This window comes from Homo sapiens, chromosome 1, assembly GCF_000001405.40.
Source record: "Homo sapiens chromosome 1, GRCh38.p14 Primary Assembly".
NCBI lineage: Eukaryota > Metazoa > Chordata > Mammalia > Primates > Hominidae > Homo > Homo sapiens.
In genome coordinates this window covers 2,437,804-2,453,138 of record NC_000001.11, presented here as the reverse complement: position 1 = coordinate 2,453,138, position 15,335 = coordinate 2,437,804, and the positions used below count along the sequence as shown (strand labels likewise).

At 64.6% G+C, this 15,335-nt stretch overlaps 1 protein-coding gene across 9 annotated transcripts in view, besides 5 other annotated features; it reads right to left on the bottom strand.

The window, feature by feature from the left end:
- The window catches only part of PLCH2 (phospholipase C eta 2), an 89,590-nt gene that overhangs the window by 52,394 nt on the left and 21,861 nt on the right, over positions 1–15,335 (bottom strand). The window lies entirely within an intron of this gene.
- Positions 216–863: an enhancer, noted in NCBI's record as "H3K4me1 hESC enhancer chr1:2383715-2384362 (GRCh37/hg19 assembly coordinates)". NCBI's record gives its function as "activates a minimal SCP1, AML or CMV promoter by ChIP-STARR-seq in naive and primed H9 embryonic stem cells {active_cell/tissue: H9 hESC(naive and primed)}" and the evidence as "EXISTENCE:reporter gene assay evidence [ECO:0000049][PMID:30033119]".
- Positions 864–1,512: an enhancer, noted in NCBI's record as "H3K4me1 hESC enhancer chr1:2383066-2383714 (GRCh37/hg19 assembly coordinates)". NCBI's record gives its function as "activates a minimal SCP1, AML or CMV promoter by ChIP-STARR-seq in naive H9 embryonic stem cells {active_cell/tissue: H9 hESC(naive)}" and the evidence as "EXISTENCE:reporter gene assay evidence [ECO:0000049][PMID:30033119]".
- Positions 4,695–4,989: an enhancer, noted in NCBI's record as "tiled region #13638; K562 Activating DNase matched - State 20:ReprD". NCBI's record gives its function as "activates a minimal TATA promoter and a strong SV40 promoter by Sharpr-MPRA in K562 cells {active_cell/tissue: K562}" and the evidence as "EXISTENCE:reporter gene assay evidence [ECO:0000049][PMID:27701403]".
- Positions 5,044–5,878: an enhancer, noted in NCBI's record as "H3K4me1 hESC enhancer chr1:2378700-2379534 (GRCh37/hg19 assembly coordinates)". NCBI's record gives its function as "activates a minimal SCP1, AML or CMV promoter by ChIP-STARR-seq in primed H9 embryonic stem cells {active_cell/tissue: H9 hESC(primed)}" and the evidence as "EXISTENCE:reporter gene assay evidence [ECO:0000049][PMID:30033119]".
- Positions 6,714–7,548: an enhancer, noted in NCBI's record as "H3K27ac-H3K4me1 hESC enhancer chr1:2377030-2377864 (GRCh37/hg19 assembly coordinates)". NCBI's record gives its function as "activates a minimal SCP1, AML or CMV promoter by ChIP-STARR-seq in naive H9 embryonic stem cells {active_cell/tissue: H9 hESC(naive)}" and the evidence as "EXISTENCE:reporter gene assay evidence [ECO:0000049][PMID:30033119]".

Genomic DNA, 15,335 nt, shown 5'->3' with positions numbered 1-15,335 from the left:
GTAGCACGGTGGGGGATGGGCGGCCCAGGCCTGGGTGGAGGTGGTGAGGAGTCCCAGCTCTGAGAGCACTGAGGGGGCGCCCCGACCAGGAATGGATCCACGGGGAAGGGCGGGGTGAGCCAGGACTCTGAGAGCACTGAGGGGCGCCCCCACCGGGAATGGATCCATGGGAAGGGGTGGGGTGAGCCGGGACTTCCCGCCTGAGAAGCCAGGACCAGGTGCCAACAGGCACCCTTCCTCCAGGCTGTCCTCCTCTAGGCTCTGCTGAGCTCCGGGCAACAAAGGCACTGCCTTTGTTGTGTACTTGCTGCACCCGGGGCCAGGCCCAGCGGCGGTCAGCTGAGGACAGCGACTGGCCAAGCTCCAGGCCCTCCCAGGACCAAGGCTGACTGGGTGGCCAGGCGCCCCAGAAGGGAGGTTCATGCCCAGCCTCTGGTTGGGGAACCCTAGGCTAGCATCCCCTGTCCCCAGGGCCTGTGAATTATTTAAGCCCCTCCCTGGGCCCATCTGCTGCTCTCTGGGGCAGCTTGGGGTGGAGTGAACGGTGCATTTGCTCCCCGAATGCCTGCAAGGCGCCGCTGGAGGGAGGTGGACCCCACCTCAGCACCAGCCCTCACCTCCTGCTGCTCACGGTGGCCGCTCCCAAAGGCCAGAGGGGCTGGGGCAGGGAACAGGCAGGGAGGGCCAGGGCAGGAGGGAGAGCAGGAGGCAGGATCAAGGGCTCCCATCCCCACCAGATAGGCCCCCCTCCACGGGGCTCACTCCAGGACGGCAGCTGCTGCCTTTCAGCCAAGATGAAATACTTCCACGGGGCTGCTACCTGCCAGGCAGGGCCGGGGGATGGGGGGCGGCAGGGGGACCCAGGCCTCAGCGGCTTCTGGAGAACCTCCGGATTGCTCCCTGAAGCTCCAGCATCCTGGGTCGTGCGGCCCAGCTGCACTCAGCCTCCACCGTCCTTCTGCACACCTGGCTGCACACGGCGGCCACCGTGGTTCCAGGCTCAGCAATGCAGTGGGGGCTGCCCGCTGCCCCTACCAGCAAGGGAGCCTCGGGCCAGAGGGAGGGGGCGCCTTCCCGTGCACTGCCAAAGCTCGGGGCCCAGACGGAAGTCTCTGCTCAGCCTCCTCCGACAGGCCCACGGCAGAGCAGACCTCACTTCACAGGGTTGGCATTTCTGAAGGATGACAAAGATCCCGGGGCTCAGAACGTGTTTTCTGTGCAAACAGACACTTCCCCACCAGCATGCCGATGACAGGCATCCGTGACAGCTCAGCCTGAATCACAGTCCCCCCACCACCACCCACCGCCCCCCCGGCAGCCCAGACGCAGTGGGGGCAGGGCTGGGGCCAAGAGCACGTTAGGGTCCCAGGCCGGTGGGGCCAACTCGCTGCCCAGCCCCCAGGGAGGGGTCCCATTGGCCTGTCCTGCCCCCATTACCAGGGCTGTGGTCTGGGGGAAGGGCTCCCTGCTGCCAACGGTGGCTGACCCTCTGAGGGGTCAGAGCCCCCGAGAGCCCCCAGCCCACCCATGGCGCAGACTCCCACAGGGCTGCCCTCCACGGTGATAGGACATGTTGGTGGGTCGCGGCTCTCTGGCCTCACGGTGGCCCTTGGAGCCAGTTCCTGGGGCTGGAGTAGAGGGGCTTCCTCCAGAAGCCCTACTGGGGCTGCCAGGGGTTAGCTGGGCAGCACTGATCAGTCCAGAGGGGCGGCACTGATCTGTACAGCCCAGAAACGCACCTCCATCAGCCACATTCTCCGCGACAATCTCTGCCTGTCACTGCTAGTGGCATCCCTCGGAGACGCTACTGCGTATGATCTTCGGGGGCCGGGGAGGCACACACATCTCTGGCCCCAGACCCCACAATCGGGACACGAGGCAAGCCCACCACCGCCTGCCTTGGCTGGGAGGGGGAGGGCCCTGGGGAGTGGAGAAGCGCCCGGCACCTTGTTGACGTGGACACCAGCAACAGGCCTCCCTCCTGGAGCGCACTCGGCCCAGCTGCTGGCCTGGACCCCAGGCCCTGCCCCAAATTGCACCTCAAGTCCTATTTCCAGACAGCGTGTGCTGGGTGGCCGAGCCACAGCCCCTATGGCAGGGCCAGGGCCAGGGCTGTGTCCTGGGAGCCGACATCCCTAGCACAGGCGGGGGTCCCACTGCCGAGCTGTCCCTCCTTCTCTACAAGTCACCTGCTCACCCTCACAACCACTGTCACCCCCTTTTCACAGATGAGGAAACTGAGACCCAGAGACACAGGTATGTCCCCAAAACCCACAGTCCAGCAACTGGTGGGCGGACAGGTGGGGATTTGAGCCCAGGCTGGGGTCCCACGTGCTTGGCCTTGAACGCGCCTGGTCCAAGGGTCTGGAACCTGGGATGCAACAGTCAGCAGGCGGGGAGCGGGGGGTAGGCGGGGAGCGGGGGGCAGGCGGGGAGCGGGGGGGCAGGCGGGGAGAGGGGGGTAGGCGGGGAGCAGGGGGGCAGACAGGGAGCGGGGGGCAGGGGGGGAGTTGGAGTTGGAGGGCAGGCCGAGTGGGGGGCAGGTGGGGAGTGAGGGGGAAGGTGGGGAGTTAGGGGGCAGGTGGGGAATTGGGGGGCAAGCGGGGAGTGGGGCCAGGCAGGGAGTTGGGGGCAGGCTGTATAGGGCGCAGGCTGAATAGGGAGGCAGGCCGAGTTGGGGGCACTTGGTAACGAGCTCCTTTTCTGTGTTCTGAATGCCGCGGGAAACATCCCAGACGGCCCAGCCCATCTTCACTTCATGTAGAGCAGAGGCTCTGAAAAGTGGGGCACGTCCTGGTGAGCTAACGAGGCACCCAGAGGACCGGCCGCCTGTGCTGGAGGCCCACGGGGAGGGAGGGAATGGCTGGGTGTTTGAACCAGCTCTCGAAGGATCACATTTTGCAGACAAAAACCAAACTCCCTCCTGGGAGGAGGTGCCCGATATCTGCCCCCCCGTCGAGGCCCAGCCAAGAAGGGGACAGCAACGGATGAAGCCACCTCTGCCCAGGGTGCCTGTTCCTGGACAAGCCTCAGGGGACGGGCCCAGCTGGGAGGGGCCGGGGCTCCTTGAGGTGGCTCAGGAGACCCCAGGGGAGCCAGGGAGACACTGTATGCAGAGAAACAGCTTCATTCACCCACTTCCCCAGGGCTGAGCTTGGCGGCGGCAGCCCAGTCCGAGGCCAGCCTCCCACTTATGCATCAAAGACAACTGCAGCTACAGCTGCAACTCAGTTCTGAGGGCTGTTGGTTCCCCAGAGAATGACTGAGTTCCAGGGAGCGTCACGGAGCAGGGGCAGGACGGGGCGAGGCTGGGGCAGCCACTGTCCCTGAGAGGTGGCTAGGCAGAGCTTACAGGCAGCCACACAGCCCTGCCCATAACATACTACTGCTGGCTCATCTCAGCAGTGAGTCCATTGCCCAAGGCCACACAGTTGCAGATTTGGGATCCAAGTCTGCCCAGCTCCAGAGCCATGTCCTCCACCCCAGTGACACCACCTGGGCAGAGCTGCCCCACCCAGGCCAGGCAGAGGCTGCTGCAGACCTGGTCCCCCACCTCACCTGACACCACTCCCTCAAGTGTGGGCCTTGACACCCTGGTTTGCTGGTTGGTTGGTTGGTTGGTTGGTTGGTTGGTTGGTTTTGTTGAGACAGAGTCTCACTATGTCACCCAGGCTGGAGTGCAGTAGCACCATCTCAGCTCACTGCAACCTCTGCCACCTCCCAGGTTCAAGCGATTCTCCTGCCTCAGCCTCCCAAGTAGCTGGGATTGCAGGTGCTTGCCACCACACACAGATAAATTTTTGTATTTTGAGTAGAGACAGGGTTTCACCATGTTGCCCAGGCTGGTCTCGAACTCCTGATCTCAGGTGATCCACCCGCCTCAGCCTCCCAAAGTGCTGGGATTACAGGCATGAGCCACCGTGGCTGGCCAGACGCCCCAGTTTAAAACATGTATTTCTACTGAAATAGCTCCAACCTCTGGGTGGTGGGGGGCGGGGGGTGGGGGTGCTGAATCTGCATTTTCCTCCGTCCAGGGGGATGTGAAGCTGCTACAGCTCCGACCAGGACTCCCAGACCCATCTGAGCCTCCTCAGAGCAGCTGGTGGGGCCTGGAGCCTGCAGAGCCACTGATCCTGGGATGCGTTCCAGGGCCCAAGCCCACGGCCCTTTCCCCGCGCCAGCAAAGGAGCCACGTACAACAGTTTGACGAAACGAGCATTCTGGAGGCCCCAGGTGCCTTCCGGGGCAGCAGTGATGTGACTTGTGGTTGGGAACCAGGAGCAGCCGCTCCCTAAGAATGGAGTGAGGCCCGTCCAGGCCTCCAGTACCCCTCTTGGTCACCTGTGGAGCCAGGACCCCACCCAGGGAGAGACTGGATGGTGGGGAGCCAGGAGGCTGCACCAGGGGGGATGGTGGGGAGCCAGGAGGCTGCGCCAGGGGGCCTGTGGGACCTCAGCAGCGTGAGCTCCAGGGCCTGCCTCGGGCGGGGGTGCTGGGGTGGAGCACACGGCCACAGTAGGGGGCTGAAGGGCGACCCCCGACAGAAAACACATCCGCATCCCAGAGCCTGTGAATTTGGCCTTATTTGGAAAAAGGGTCTCTGAGGGCGTGCTCAGTGAAAGGCCTGCGCCGAGGAGATCGTCCCGAATGACCCAGGCAGGCCCCAGATCCTACAGGACAAAGGAGACTCGAGGCGCAAGAGAAGACGGAGAGAAGGGCGAGGGAAGACAGGCAGAAGCAGGAGGCGGCCACAACCCAAGGGACGCCAGAGCCACCAGAAGCTGGAGGAGGCCAGGAAGTTCCTCCCGGGGAGCCTGCAGAGGGAGCGCGGCCCCACCCACACCCTGACCTCAGACTTCCAGCCTCCAGGACTGCGAGAGAATAAGCGTGCGGCGTTTTTAGTGGCCAGTGCACGGCAGCCGGTCCCAGCAGCTGCAGGAAACACACCCCTCCATGTCGTGGTGCTCCAGACACCCGGGGCACCTGGCGCTCCAGGAGGGCAAGGGCAGCCCAGCTGTCAGCAAAGCGTTCCTGACAAGGGTCACCTTTGCCTGGGTTTGGCTGCCTGGAGGCCACGACCAGGGAAAAAGGACCACAGCAGCCAGGGGCACCATGCCCTCCACCCACAGGCACTGCGGCACAGCCTGGTCTGAATGATCTCACTGACTCTCCTGGTACCGCAGGGGAGGGAGGGATAAGCAGGGGCCGAGTGCCCTGCCAAAGTCCCGCAGCCAGGGAGGGACGGAAAGACCTCAGGCCTTGCCGCAGAGCACATGCATCCTCAGGGAATACATCCTCTGTATTCCCCGGTTCCCGGTCGGCTGGTCCCCGGTGGGCTGAGGGAAAGACCCCAAAGACTCAGAGAGCAGCTGCCCCGAAGTGGGCAGACCGGGCCACATCAGGGAGGAGTGAGGCCAGGTTACCACCGCTGAAGCTCCAGTCAGGCGTCTCCCTGGGCCCAACCTGAGAGATCAAGCTGGGGACATTTCAGCAACTTGCCCCCACCCCCAAGCCTTTCCTGCCTTCCAGTCTCTCCAGGGTCAGCAGCTCAGTCACAGTCAAGGGTCACAGTGGAGCTCCGGGTCAGCGGCCCCTCCCTGGAGCTGCAGGCCCTCAACACGGGGCCTCCCCTGGTGGAATCTCCACCCACTATGCATGTCCCTCCTTGCTCCCCAGTGGGAGGGCACCCTGGGAGCACAGCAGAACCTGGGGGAGGGGAGGGGGAGCCCTGAGAAGGCTGGCTTAGCCGTCTTGGGAGTGACTGTACAGCTGTGTGCAGGTGTGTGCGGAACACAGGTCCAGCGATCCGGGAGAAGGAGCTGAAGGCAGAGTGGTCCTGGAGGATGCGGGTGAGGTGAGCAAATGGGCCTCCCCCCACAGACTTGGGGCCCCACCCTGCAGCCACCCTAGCCCTGGAAGCCCCTCAGGTTGCTCGTTTCTGCCATCAAGCCTGGCTCCTCCTGGAGCCTCACGCACAGAGTCTGATCTGCACTGGGAGCTCAGAAGGCAGGCATGAGGAGCCTGCTCCCATCTGCGGGGGTGGAGACCCCGGAATCGACACCCAAAGGCTGCTGGGAGCACATGAGGGGGTGGGAGAGGAAGGCAGGAAGAGGAGCCCTGAGGGCGGCTCTGAGGCTGGGGTGGGTACCCTCTGCCACCTCCACCTCCACCAGGCCACCGTGCTGCCTGAAGCTGGCCCCGGAAAGGTGCTTGTGCATGGGCACAGAGGTGTGCACACACACACGGGGCTGCAGGGGCAGGAGGAGGAAGGAGCCCCAGCCCAGACTCAGCCCAGCCCTGGGGAGCATGAGGCAGTGAAGGGATGATCACATTCCTGCCGGCTCTGACCCCTCTGCAGGCCCCGACCCCTCTGCCAGCCCCAACCCCTCTGCCAGCCCAACCCCTCTGCATGGGCCCAGGTTGGCCAGCTCTCAGCTGGGCTGGGCAGCCGAGGCAGCCTCCTTTGTCCCTTTGTGCTGGGCGAGTGGAAAGGACAAAAGCTGTTCTCCCGGCTGGCTAGCTGCTGCCGCCGGAGACATCTCCAGGAGCCCTTCCTCCCTCTGCCTCCAATGTGCGCCTGTTACACAACAGACCTAAGAATAATCCGGAGGGCGGTCGGAGTCGGAGCTGCCCCGCCTCCTGGGACCCCTGCAGCTGGGGGGAGGGAGGGGCCTGAGGCACACAGCTCCTGCTTCTGCCTGGGGCCCCAGTCTGTCAAGGGCCACCCCACCCCCAGCCCCGGGAGACCTGGCTACAGGGTCTTAACTCCAGCCTCAACCCCCAAATCGCAGGCAGGGCTGAGCCACAAGTGAATAGGGGGGTGAGTGGCAATGGAACCCCAGAATCCAGGGCCACTTGTGCCCAGGGGCCATTGGAGACAAGAGTCCCAGTGGGGCCTGTGACAGCCCCAGAGTGGGCAGCAGCGGGGAAGCTGGGCCTTCAGTGGGTACACTGATGTCCAAGCCCCCAATGGCCACCCCTTCCTGGCAGCCAGGGGCAGCACCCTGGCTAGGACTGCAGTGGACAGGGAAGCAGGACGGGGGTGGAAGCCCGGCCAGGCAGCGGGAGGGACCCTCTGGGCTGGTCCTCAGCCCCCCTCCCGTCGGCGTGCCCATCACTGGAGCAGGTGGCAGGCAGCTCTTGGGGCTCTGGCATGGGGCTCGGGCCAGGCTCCCTCCGTTCCCGGACAGACGGCACTGTGGGTGCGACAGCAGCTAATGAAGCGGTCCTATTAGGCGCAGAGTAACAGAAGATACACAAATTGGTCCGAAGCTCTTCATGTGTTGTGGACATTAAAAATTAAAATCCAATTACAACTCGTATTGTCAGACCTGGCTGCTGCGGCTTACGGCAATCCGTGTGTGCCGTGCAGATTATGTCACCTGAACTCCAGCAGCAGCAGTGAGGGCCTCGGGAACCGGGCTGCCAGGCCCCCACCACCACCTAGGAGGGTCTGTAGGGGGTCTCTCCTGCCCACCAGCTCCTCTGCCTCCCCCCTCTGGGCAGGGTCCCTACCTGGTCACCCACAGGAGGGGCCGCTGCCAACCTGTCCCCACCCTCCCCCGTACCCCCAGCTGTTCCCCACCCACAGCCAGCTCTGCCAGAGGCTGGACATCAGGCCTGACCCCAGCCTCATGCTCAGGGATCTGAGGCCAAGGCCACCAGACCAAGCCCCGAGCCCCGAGTCTTCTACACACTGTCCAGCAGACACTCCCACCAGTTCCCCGACCACTGCCCAGGCCTGTTCCAGCCTCTTCTCTCACTGCCCTGGTTTCCCTGGGGACATGCCAAGCAGGCGCCAGTCTCCCTCCCTGCCTCGTCCAGACGAGGCTGCAGGCTCAGCTCTCTCACCTCCCAGAGGGCAGGGCCATCAGGCGTTCAGCCTCAGGGAAGGGGCCTGTGGGGACCCTCAGCACAGCCACAGGCACCCACTTGCCCAGTGCACACCTGCCTCCCTCATCCTTTCCAGACCCCAGACCCTCCCCTAGGGCAGTGCGGAGAATGTGGCCCTGGCTTAAGTGCAGAGGGAACATAGTGGGGGCCAATTTAGAGACGACTTCTCCCATCAGCCCAGGGTCCTAGGGGAGACCAACAGGCTGGCTTCTGTCCCCACCAACCAAGCAGGAGATAGGACAGTGGCCTCCGCCCTCTGACTTGCCCCTCCCCGGCCTCCCATGGTGCCTGAATCCCCTCTGAGGCTGCACCTCGCTGAAGGAGTCTCTAGGATCAGACACCCAGGCAGGCAGACACCATGGGCTCCCCAAGTCAGGGGTGTTGGGGCACCGTGACCCCGCCTCCCCAGACCAACGTGTCAGGGGACGAAGGGGACACCGATCGGGTCCATTCTCCTGGAGGGAGAAGGCCATGGGGGAAGGGCAGTTCCAGTGGTCTCAGTGGTCACAGTGGGGATCAGTGGCCACCTTGGCTGCCTCCAGTGTCACCAGACAGTGTGGGAGGCGGGGAGCGGAGGGGAGGGGAAGCCTCTTATCTCCTTGGCATCTTCCTCCACCAGCTCCAGCAGAGCCCATCTCCCTAAAGAATACCCTGTAGCTCTGCCGGCAGGTCCAGAGCCCAGGAGACCCCTCAGCAGTGGACACTCAAACACTTCCCCCTCCCGTGTCCTACAGACCATCCAGCAGGGCCGCCCCAGGGCCTCCGGAGCTCCCGCCTGCCCGGGCAGTGCCCGCTGCACCCCACCTGCTAGTGTGGGGAGAGGCCGGCTCCCCCCAGATGAGCACCTGCAGCCCAGGCAGATGTGCCATGCGGCAAGTCCACGCAGCACCTCCCGGACCCACACAGGGTGCCCTGCGGCACCATCCGGCAGGGATCGGGGTGCCCGGCCTGGGCTCAGCAGGGGTCATTCTCAGCACGGTCACAGCCCCAGTGCGACCTCCGCAGAAGCCCGGGGAAGGAAAGTTTGCCGAGGGGCGGCCCCCAGATCCCTCACCCCGCACCTGAGGCCATCCGGAGAGCTCAAGACCGCTCCGCCCGTCCCGCCCACAGTCCCGCGCCCGCACCCCTGCCCGTGCCACCGCGATCCGAGCCTCCGCTCCCGAGTCTGAAGCCCAGGCGGCTCAGCCCCGACCCGCACCAGGGCTGCGGCGCCCCCGCGCGTCCACCCGCGCATCCCGGTTGGCAGCGGCGCAGCGGCAGGAGCGGCACCTACTGTGCTTCTGCGGGGCGGCTCCCGCGTCCATTGTCTCCGTGGCGGCTGCAGCGAGGGCAGCGAGGGCGGCGGGGGCGGGGGCTGCGGGCCGGGAGGCGCAGTCAGCGGCCGGGCTCGGGCTCGGGCTGGGGCTCCGGCTCCCGCGGCATCGCCCCGCCAGCTCGGGCGGCCCGCGGCGGGCTGTGCGCGGTGACACTGCGCCCCGTGGAGGCGCCGCGCGAGGAGCGCGCTGTCACTCGTGCCGCCCGCACCACACCCCCTGCCCGCCCCGCGCCGGGAGGGGGCCGGGGGCGCGGGCTCCGCGGCGGGCACCGGGCTGGAGGCAGATCGGGCGCAACCGGGCGAGCGCGACGCACAGAACAGGTGGGGCGCGGGGCTAGCCGGCCCGCCCTGCGCCCGCCGCAGCCAAAGTACTTTCTCCGCAAAGATGCTCCTGCGGCCTTCCGCTCCCCACACCTCCCCCTCCGCCTCCCTCCGGCTCCCCGTGGCCCCAGCCGGCGGGACCGGGAAGGGGGCGGGGCCGAGAGCGCTTCCCATCTCCAGGCTGGGCGTTTGCCCAGGCGCTGGAAGAAGCCAAGACAGGGGCCCCGGCGACACTACAACCCACCCCCCACTCCCAACACCCTGGCGTTTGAGGACTGGGGCCTGGGCCATCCCTTCCCCATTTGAGGACTGGGGCCTGGGCCACCCCTCCCCCAACTAAGATGTCAGGGGCACATGCAGACCCTTGCAGAAGTGCCTGGGACTGCTGAGAACGGGGTACGGCCCAGCCCCAAGAGGGTGGCAGGGCACCCTTAGCTCCCATCGGGCGGCCAGCCCACCCACCTCTGGGGGGAGGGAGCTTGGTGCTGCCTCCTGTGCCCCCAGGGAGAACCAGGATGACCATTCCCCTGGGCAGGTCCCTAGCCCCACACCAGTCAACTCTTCCACTGTTCCAGACCCTGGAGGCCCAAAGCAGCCACAGAGACAGGCCCTAGACCCTGGGGACCCTCCCTGCCCACCAGGCTTCTCTGTTTCCAGGCACTTCGTCGGTTCCCCGCTCTGCTGCAGGCAGCCATGAAGGAGGAGGCGGGAGACAAGTCAAGAGAGACTGCCCAGCTCTGGCCTGTGTCCAGAGAGGCCTCAGCTCCCCCAGGTCTGCCTTGGCCACAGAGCCAAGAGGCAGAACTTTCCCAACAGACCCTCCTGGCAGACTCTGGAACAAGAAGGGCTCCTGCACTCAGAGCCCCCAGCTTACCCACAAGGCCAGCCTCCAGCCTTAGAGGGAAGCCACAGCGTTCACCCTAGGGCAGCCCCGTGCACCCACACCATGCTGCTTCTGCACCCAAGGGTCCCTGGACTTTGTTCTTTGGGTCTAATATGAGTGGTTCAGACTGAGAGGGGGTCCTCGCCAGAGCTGAGAAAGGGGCACAGGCCACTAAGGACACACACATCCCTGGGCCCGTCAGCTCTGCCTGCCAGGGAGAGGAAAGGCTGAGTCTGAGATGAGGCCCGAGATGGGCACCAAGCTGGGAGCCAGGGAGGAGGCCAGGGGTGGGGTAGGGGTGCGTGGGAGCGTGTCACTCAGGACCAGTGTTGCCGGAGTTTCTATTTTGCTCTCCAAAGCAGACCCTGCCCACCATCTGGCCCTGGCGTAGTGGCTGAAGAGGAGACAGAAGACACAGGTGCATGTCCTGGCTCCCCACAGATTCACGAGAGGCCTCAGTCTCCCCTCCAGACCTCAGTTTCCCCAGGAATAGACCTGCTGGTGTCTATGGTTCTTTCCTGATTGCTGAAGCCCAGGAGGTTTCTGACTCCCCCAAGCAGTCTATTGCTTGGCTGTGCCCCAGAGCCTGGGGCATGGTCAGGATTCCTCCTGGTGCAAAGCTCACCGCGGAGAGGCTACGTCCTGCCGCCTGCAGGGCCAGCTCCGCTCCCGAGGCTTTCTGCTTTCCAGGAGCACCAGGCAGTGCCATCTCCACACAGCCCTGGAGACTCTGTGCCGGGTGTGTGTTCCCGGATGTTTCATCTGGCTGAGGCTGGGCGGGCTCTAGCAGCCTCTGCCCAGGACCATGAGCCTGCAGTGAAGCCTCTGTCATCACTACCCTGAGGGGCTGACAGAGCCCTGCGCCCTGAGGTGTGGCTGCCTTAATGCGGGCTGTGGATGGAAGGCAAAGAGAGCCGCTCCTCCCCCAGTGAACCCTGCGGCAGCTCCAGGGCTTCTCCTCCAAGGAAAGGCTAGTTCCTGGCTCCCTTGGCCACACTGGCCCACGGGACTCCCAGACTCCACCCTGGCTTCCTCTCCCGGGGTGCTGGCTCCTGCAGCTTCTCTGCTTACCCCTACACCAGGGACCTAATGCCCAGGCCAGGGCAGAGCTGCCGCTCCTCCCTCTCCTTCCCAGGAGGAAACCCCACCGTGACAGCATCAGCTGGTCTGGGATCCCAAAGTGAGAGTGGACTCAGCAGATGAGTGGAGGATGGACGTGCCAGTCGATGCTCAGAAACGTGCAGGAGGAATAAATGAGGTGTGGGTGAATGAAAGAGTACCCACAGAGCTCGGTGCTGTGAATGAACATCCCCAGGCTCCTGCCCACCCCCATGCCCCCACGCTCAGCCCCTCCCAGTGCAGGCCCAGGAGCTGGCAGAAGCCAAACCCAGGCCGGATGCGACGCCTGCTTGGAGCTGGGAGTTGCTCTGGGACCATACGTGTGGTGCCCGCGCCTCTTCGCTTCTGAGGCTTCACAGCAGGGGCTGGCAGGGGCCGGCAGGGGCTGCCAGGGGGGCTCTCTCCACTTTTCCCATCCCCCGGCCCTCTAGGGGCTTTCCTCAGATGAAAGCCTGAGCACCCCTTTCACTGCCTGGCTTAGAGACCACCTGGAGCCAGGTGCAGTCAGGATGGGAACCCACCCCCTCCACTTCCTGGGCACCTGGAGCGGGCAGTGCCCTCTGAACCATGCCCATCTGCACCCCCTTTCCCGGACAGCATGGTCGGGGCGGTTTCCTGGGGGCAGGACCACCCGGGCACAGCCAGATCTTGGCAGTTGTGGAGCTCAGTGGCCTCAGATGAGGCCCCAGGAGGAAAGACCCACAGCCTTCCGTTCCCGGGGGGACGTGGCCAAGCACCAGGGACCCAGGGACAGAGGCAGAGAGATGACACCAACAGCAATGAGACAGAAACCTGGCCTCCTGCACGAAGCCAAAACCGAAACGCAAATTGGAAACTGTGAAAGAAATCTCCATCCTGAGCCAGAGGCTCAAGAATCCCTGGTCGCAGCATGCAAGATCCCCGGGCAGGCCGGCCAAGGCCAGCGACAGACATGGAGAGAGGATCCCTGGTCGCAGCATGCAAGATCCCCTGGCGGGCCGGGCAAGGCCAGCGACAGACATGGAGAGAGGATCACTGGTCGCAGCAATGCAAGATCCCCGGGCGGGCCAGGCAAGGCCAGCGACAGACATGGAGAGAGGATCCCTGGTCGCAGCAATGCAAGATCCCCGGGCGGGCCGGGCAAGGCCAGCGACAGACATGGAGAGAGGATCCCTGGTCGCAGCAATGCAAGATCCCCGGGCGGGCCGGGCAAGGCCAGCGACAGACATGGAGAGAGGCCTCCTCTCACGGCAGACTGTGTGGAGGCACCCACCACCATGGCCGGGTGCTCCTGGGGGCAACCCCGGCAGCCAGGGCACACCGCCTGCCCCCCACCCGAGATCCTCCCCAGCTCCAGCCCTCCCAGCCAGTCTTCCTTCCCGGGCGCTCCCAGATGGGCCACTTCCTGGGCCATACCCACAGACCCCATCTGGCCTGCAGGCCTCACTCCAATACACCCACCCCTGCAGCTGGACCACAGGCTACATCGGACCCCTCAGCCTGGCACCCAGGGCCCTGTGGACTGGCTGCAGCTGCCTTCTCTACCCTGTTTGCCCTTCCCTCATAGACACTCCACCAAGCCTGACTCCCCCTTCTCCACAGGCCCCCTGCCCACCCCTGCCTGGTTTCCAAGGTCAGGAACGAGGCACCTCCTCTGGGAAGCCTCCCTGGTTGCCTTGTCCCCCGCAGTGTCCCGGACATGACCTTGCCCTGATTTTGAGTCTGCCCTTCACATTAAGATCATGAGGTCCCTGCAGGCAGGGAGCCGCGTGCCCGCTGCCCTCGAACACTCCAGCCAGGCCTGGCTGCGGTGTCTCTCAGGCAATGCCTTTCCTCAGTGGAGAAGAATCCAGCTGGACTCTGACGGGCTCTCCCCACGGACCCCGGGACTCTCCCCCGAGGGTGGCAGTGTCAGCCCCAGGTGAACAGATGGCTCAGGGCCAGAGACCTGGGCGGGAGGTCTCAGAGGCCCTTCTGCAGCCTGAGGTCACCATGGAGGACAGACAGCCCGGAGAGGCACAGCTGAGCACTGCAGAGAGAGCACGTGCACGCAACTCAATCAATGGGCTTAATCGGGTAAACGTGCAATCCTCAGCAGCTAAATTTAGAAAGTGTGTGTTTCATTTTCCACCAGCATCTGGTCTGAAGACGTCCCGTTCTCAATCAGAACTCAAGACAACGAACGGGTGGGATGGGATCAGCTGCCCCTGGCTTGGCTTCCCATGAACAGGGCCCAGAACCCGGGGGCAGCCCTGGGGTCGGGGACCAGGTCTGGCCAGCACTGGGGTGGGTGGGCAGGGCTGAGCCTCCTGCTCTGAGACCCCCCAGGCACCTTGCTGCATGGGCTGGTGCCAGCGAGAAGGGTGAGGACACCCTCGGGGGGGCCAAAGGTCTTTATAGGCACTGCCTGCCCTTAGGAATCATTGAGGCCTGACACACCCTTTTCTCTGAGGGGGAAACTGAGGCACAAAGAGAGAAAGGCACCTGCCCAGGGTCCCCAGAGACATGGTATCCTGCCTTGAAACAGTTTCTCATTGGCAAGGGAGATATTTCCGTCCAGGTCTAGCAAGACAGGGACCCTGGGAGCTGGGTCAGGGCTGGGAGGGCGTAGTCAAAGCCACTTCTACCTGGAGCCACCCATGTGGCCAGAGCTGGGCTCCATCGGCCCATCCAGATCCCTGGGCAGGGCAGCCCACGCCGGCGAAGTGGGGCAAAACACTCAATGCTGCCGTGAATTGCCCCGGTTCCCCCCTGCACACGCTGCGCCCCCTGAAGGACCCTAGATCTGCAGGGAAGGTGCCCATGGGACCAGAGGCCCTTCTGGCACACAGGGAGGGTGGCAGACTGGTGGGCAGGCAGCGGGACGGGGGGTGCTCCCAGCTGGAATGATCCGAGCAAATTTGGAGGAAAATAGACTTCCAGGCTGTGGGGAGCAGGTGTTGGGAGGCGGGGGCAAGAAGGGACCTTCACCTGCCCTAGCCGCAGTGGCCGGGGGTGCTCTCTCTTGGGCAATCGGCAAAGACGATGTGGAGAAGCACCAGCCCCCTCCCCTTCCTGTGGGCACCCACACCCAGAGCCCTCATGCTGCCCTCTCTGATGGAGGCCAGGGTCGAGTGTGCACACCTTTGCAGGAGGTGAGCTGGAGGGGACATGGCAGGGGCATGGGAGACAGTACAGGAGGGAGTGCCTCCTGGACAGACCCTCCCCTGGACCTCCTGCTGACCTGGGCTGACCCTGGGCCCCTCGGCCTCACAGTCATGCCCCAGGGGTGCCAAGGGGCAGAGACTGGTGGGACCCAGGGACACTGGGCCCTGCCCTTTCTTCTTACCCCACGCCAGCCGGGCCCAGTGCACACTTCCTTGTAAACCAACTGTCGCCTGCACAGGGCCGGGCGCCAGCACACACCGTCTGCCGAGCGCCGTTCATCTCCGCGCTTGCTCATTTCCACGGCTGCCAACAGGCACGCTCTGAGCATCCCCAGGGCTCTGAGCCAGGTGGCTGGGAGCGCAGTGTGACCCTGCCCTGGGGGAGGCCTCAGCCCAGGGACCTGCAAAGCCAGCACACAACCAAGTTGCCAAGAACTTTACTAATGCTGAGGCAGTAGGTGCCAGGCGGGCCTGGAGGGACCTTGGCGGATGCTCAGTTGGGGTGGGGTGGCAGAGGCAGGCAAGGGCCAGATCGTGGAAGGCCTTCGAGGCCAAAGAGGAGGCGGTGAGAGGCGAGTTCTGGAAGACCACTGAGATGGACGGCCACGTGCGTGGGTGCATGTACTGTGTGTGCACGTGTGTGGTTTGGGTGCATGTGAACATGTGTTGTATGTACACA